General features: G+C 44.7%; 3 annotated features.

Annotated features, from left to right (window-relative positions):
• Positions 341-911: an enhancer, noted in NCBI's record as "H3K27ac-H3K4me1 hESC enhancer chr6:100271711-100272281 (GRCh37/hg19 assembly coordinates)". NCBI's record gives its function as "activates a minimal SCP1, AML or CMV promoter by ChIP-STARR-seq in primed H9 embryonic stem cells {active_cell/tissue: H9 hESC(primed)}" and the evidence as "EXISTENCE:reporter gene assay evidence [ECO:0000049][PMID:30033119]".
• Positions 637-756: an enhancer, noted in NCBI's record as "active region_24864". NCBI's record gives its function as "activates an Ori minimal core promoter by ATAC-STARR-seq in GM12878 lymphoblastoid cells {active_cell/tissue: GM12878}" and the evidence as "EXISTENCE:reporter gene assay evidence [ECO:0000049][PMID:35858748]".
• Positions 3,219-3,513: a silencer, noted in NCBI's record as "tiled region #7231; K562 Repressive non-DNase unmatched - State 21:Repr". NCBI's record gives its function as "represses a minimal TATA promoter and a strong SV40 promoter by Sharpr-MPRA in K562 cells {active_cell/tissue: K562}" and the evidence as "EXISTENCE:reporter gene assay evidence [ECO:0000049][PMID:27701403]".

Genomic DNA, 5,280 nt, shown 5'->3' with positions numbered 1-5,280 from the left:
TTAAGCACTTCCCTGTATTGGTTATTCTAGTTATACATTCTTCTAAATTTTTTTCAAAGTTTTCAACTTCTTTGCCTTTGGTTTGAATGTCCTCCCGTAGCTCAGAGTAATTCGATCGTCTGAAGCCTTCCTCTCTCAGCTCGTCAAAATCATTCTCCATCCAGCTTTGTTCCGTTGCTGGTGAGGAACTGCGTTCCTTTGGAGGAGGAGAGGCGCTCTGCGTTTTAGAGTTTCCAGTTTTTCTGTTCTGTTTTTTCCCCATCTTTGTGGTTTTATCTACTTTTGGTCTTTGATGATGGTGATGTACAGATGGGTTTTCGGTGTGGATGTCCTTTCTGTTTGTTAGTTTTCCTTCTAACAGACAGGACCCTCAGCTGCAGGTCTGTTGGAATACCCTGCAGTGTGAGGTGTCAGTGTGCCCCTGCTGCGGGGTGCCTCCCAGTTAGGCTGCTCGGGAGTCAGGGGTCAGGGACCCACTTGAGGAGGCAGTCTGCCTGTTCTCAGATCTCCAGCTGCGTGCTGGGAGAACCACTGCTCTCTTCAAAGCTGTCAGACAGGGACATTTAAGTCTGCAGAGGTTACTGCTGTCTTTTTGTTTGTCTGTGCCCTGCCCCCAGAGGTGGAGCCTACAGAGGCAGGCAGGCCTCCTTGAGCTGTGGTGGGCTCCACCCAGTTTGAGCTTCCAGGCTGCTTTGTTTATCTAAGCAAGCCTGGGCAATGGCGGGCGCCCCTCCCCCAGCCTCGCTATCGCCTTGCAGTTTGATCTCAGACTGCTGTGCTAGCAATCAGCGAGATTCCGTGGGCGTAGGACCCTCCGAGCCAGGTGTGGGATATAGTCTCGTGGTGCGCCGTTTTTTAAGCCGGTCTGAAAAGCGCAATATTCGGGTGGGAGTGACCCGATTTTCCAGGTGCGTCCATCACCCCCTTCTTTGACTCGGAAAGGGAACTCCCTGACCCCTTGTGCTTCCCAGGTGAGGCAATGCCTCGCCCTGCTTCGGCTCGCGCACGGTGCGCGCACCCACTGGCCTGCGCCCACTGTCTGGCACTCCCTAGTGAGATGAACCCGGTACCTCAGATGGAAATGCGGAAATCACCCGTCTTCTGCGTCGCTCACGCTGGGAGCTGTAGACCGGAGCTGTTCCTATTCGCTAAACCTTAATTTTTTAAAAATTTGCTTTGTTTTGCTTTTTGTTTGTTTTGCTTTGCTTTGCTTATATCAATTCAATCTGGTTATCTCAAGCTTATCTAACTTTTCTAACTGAAAACCATTTTAGAAAATTTGAAAAATTGGACAAGGGGCTAATTATACCATAAATAGTCTTTAGTATGATAGATGAACTCTCCTAGACTGGGATGAAAAACTGAAGAACCACTGAACACATATAATACAATCTGAAGGACACGATTGTTCTTTCAGCAAATTAGACTCACCCAGAGGAAGAACCTCCCACTGAAAGGGCAAATGATGCATCCCATTTTCCTCACAATAAGTCTCTTGATAAGAGGCTTTGCAAACTGGAATTCTCAGCACCTGCCCCTACCTCGGCGATAGTGAGTGCCCAAAGCCTTTTTATAGGAAACTTTTCACAGAGTAAGAAACACTGCTCCTAATAACTTACAGACAGAATAAGAAAGAAACACTGCCCCTAATAACTTACAGACCACCACCTCTTCCTCATTTCACATTTCTGTGACCTACTTGAGCTGTCCTAGTCTTCCCTGAGGACGGGACAAGAAATGCCATAACCATTATTTCAAGAATGTTGCCTAAAACAAATACCAACATGAACCCCTGTCCAGCTCTTATGTGCATAAACCATCAGCAGATGGAGCCCTTTGCTAATTCAGCAATAGTTCTGGGTCCTCCTGCTTTGTTGGCCTGTATAAGAGTTGCATTCCGTTTTTGTGGATCACACTGAATTGCTGTCATTGTTAGGATTAGTACATCCTGTGTTTTGCATGGAAGCATCCAGGAACTATGTTTCTACAACTAAATGGCAGGAAAATTAAAATGAGTTTTCTCGGAATTAGAGATAATATTTGATGTATTGCCTTTGCGTTGTCCTCAGGTGTGTGAATACAGAGCTTTGATTCATTCCGTCTATAAACAGTAAGATCTACATGTGTTGCAAGAAATATCGTATCTGTTTGTTCTCTACAAATCAGACTACCATTGATTTGGCCACCATCTCATCAGACTGGAGGGGAATTTAGTAATAAATAGGGATTTTTTTTTTTTTTTTTTTTTTTTGGCGATGGAGTCTCTCTCTGTCTCCCAGGTTGGAGTACAGTGGCGTAATCTCGGCTCACTGCAAGCTCTGCCTCCTGGGTTCATGCCATTCTCCTGCCTCAGCCTCCCCAGTAGCTGGGACTACAGGCGCTCGCCACCACGCCTGGCTAATTTCTTCTGTATTTTTAGTAGAGACGGGGTTCCACTGTGTTAGCCAGGATGGTCTCCATCTCCGGACCTCGTGATCCGCCCGCCTCAGCCTCCCAAAGTGCTGGTATTACAGGAGTGAGCCACCGCGCCCGGCCTAAGTAGGGATTCTTCAACCCCCCAATCCAGGGTCTTGTAAAGGTTCTGGGGTATATGCAGTTTTGAAGGAAGAGAAAACATGGAAGGGAGGATATGCATCTTGTCATTGGTTACCTGCTTGGCTGAGTTATCAAGATGTATGTCGTCCCTACTGCTTCCAAACCAAGTGTGAGATACAGGAATTGTTTATGAAGCTAAAACCTCCCAAAGCCCATTGAGTCTTACTTCCCTAGAAAGGGTAACATGCAGCCATCCTCTCCGGGATGTAGCCAAAAGCATGGCCGAATTCCGTTTCTCTGGAAAGCATAGCCCTCTCTCTCTTCTCTCTTTTCAGCCCTGCAGAATCTTACTGTTTAGTCAGGTAAAAATGCTTCTCCCTTCTTATTTTTCTTAGAATAATAGTCATCAACCTTAGCCATGCATCAGAGTCTGTCAGGTTCATGACTACACCAAAGGTCATGTTGAGGTCTGGAGGGAGTGGGGAAAGGAGCAGAAAGAACACCCAGGCGACCGTAGACAGGTGAATGGCTTTATTAGCAGCCGCTCTCATCAACAGCTTTCTCATACTGTCTGCCCTGTCTCGGCTGCTTAGTCCTGCGGCCCCCACACACAGCTGAGTGGCCGGCTCTCCCTTGCCTTCAGGGTCAGACGCTTAACTCTTTCTCTCTGGCCACAAGCGAGCCAAACTGTGTCCTGGCTCCCCTCTGTTCATTTGCAAAGATGGACAGCTCTGGCTCTCTCACTTTCTCTGGGCACCAGTGCCTGCACAGTGTCAACAGGGCAATTATACCTTTTACAGACAATAGTGGCTAAGGGCCAAGTGGTGAGGTTCCCATGTTATGGCTACATAGCTGTAATAACAAGTGGAGTTATATGCCTGCCCTCTAAACTTGCTGAGTCGCGCAGGATGTAAACATCCTACCTCGGCCTATCCTTAACCAAAGCACAATCATGTTCCTTACAGAGTCACCTGGAGCGCTGTAAAAAAAAGAAAAAAAAATTCATATTCCCAATTACCAAACATACCAACCCCACTGGTGTGCAGTGTGGCTGGGACAATTACTTTATAAGACTCCAAAGGCTTCTAATGTGTAGCCAAGATGAAAACTTATCCCTTCTCTTAGCTATTCCCATGAAGACCTCCCTCTCCCCTCAGTGGGCTTGGTATTTACAAATGACAGCCAGACAGGAAAATGTATTTTCTTCTTTCTACCCTGAGAATGTGCTACTGCCTACTTGAATGGACAGAAGGGAAAATACTAGGAGTAAAAAAAAATTATCATCTGTACATTACATAATATGATCAGATTAAATTTTCTTTTTAAAAAATTTTATAGGTTTTCCATCACAAAATAAATTCAAGCTAATAAAACTTTTAAACAAAGAAGTGGTATAAAAGTGGTGGTGAATCTTGCCTAATTCTTTTGTATAATAGCAATCTCTCAAAATGATGTTATAGTTTTCTTTCACCTATTTATAGAGTAATAATAGAATATAGATATATTCCCTAAATTGAACTGAGCTTCTTGAAATAAATCCTGCATAATGATGTTAGTTTTTGTAATACAATGCTGGACCCAAGTTGCTAATGATTTACTCGGGATTCTTACATCTTTATTTATAAGTGACATTGATTTGGCAGCTGTATTGTGCTTCGCTACTGACATCAGGGTATGGGGATCTCAGAGGATGTACTAAGAATCTTTCCATCTTTTTCTCCATGCCCTAGTGCAGTTGACAAGGCATAGGAATTTCATGTTCCTTCAAGGATGGGTGGATCTTCAGCACTATAAAAATAAAGGATTAAATCTGATATTGGACTACCTTTTTCATTTTTTTCCAATGGTTTGTAGAACAAATAGAATTCTGTTTTATACTTCTTTAGTTAACATTCATAAAATTATAATTTTCTTAAAAAATTATACTCAATATAGATATTCAACTTGTTTTCATTTGAAACTGTATAAATAGTGTTTTTTTAAAACCCCTTTTCTGTCACGGTTACAGTTCTTTCTTATTCCTAACATACTCATTGGTGCAGTGGGAGAGCGTCTGGCTCTGAAAAGTGTGCAGTGTCCAGAGCTTCGAGGAGATCCTGATGTTGTGTCTGACTCTCACCAAGAGAACAGCTCTGGTGGCGGACAGAGTGGAATGGGTGCAGAGGGCCAGGCTGTGCTTCCACCCACAGCCAGGAGCAGGACACTGCACTTTCTGCACAGAATAAGTGGATCACGGAATAAGTAGTTAGCCAGAGTGAGACTGGAAAAGACCCTGTTCAAGAAGGCAACCTGGATTCAGTAGAAGCAAAAAAGTGTTCATTTGGAGGGTACATCCTCCTCTCAGGAATGGGGCAGCAGGAGGTTCCAGTGCCTCACAAGCAAAAGAGCATGTGGCAGAGCCAAAGGAGCACCTGCCATAGCTGAAGAACTGGACTCCAATTACACTGAGCAAGTAACACCTCCCCTTCCACTCACTTTGTCCAGCCCTAGAGGAGGCAGAGGGACATCCATCTGCTAATGGAAGAGTGAGGTAGAGAAAAAGTTAAGAAACCAGCTGTATTATGGTTCTTCAGAGAGACAGAACCAATCTTCAGAGAGACAGAGAGGCAGATAGATGTAGATGATATAAATAGACAGATGATAGATATAGATACAGGCCAGGCACAGTGGCTCATGCCTGTAAACCTAGCACTTTGGGAGGCGGAGGTGGGCAGATCACCTGAGGTCAGGAGTTTGAGACCAGCA

This window comes from Homo sapiens, chromosome 6 (assembly GCF_000001405.40).
Source record: "Homo sapiens chromosome 6, GRCh38.p14 Primary Assembly".
NCBI lineage: Eukaryota > Metazoa > Chordata > Mammalia > Primates > Hominidae > Homo > Homo sapiens.
This window is presented reverse-complemented; position numbering and strand designations above follow the sequence as displayed.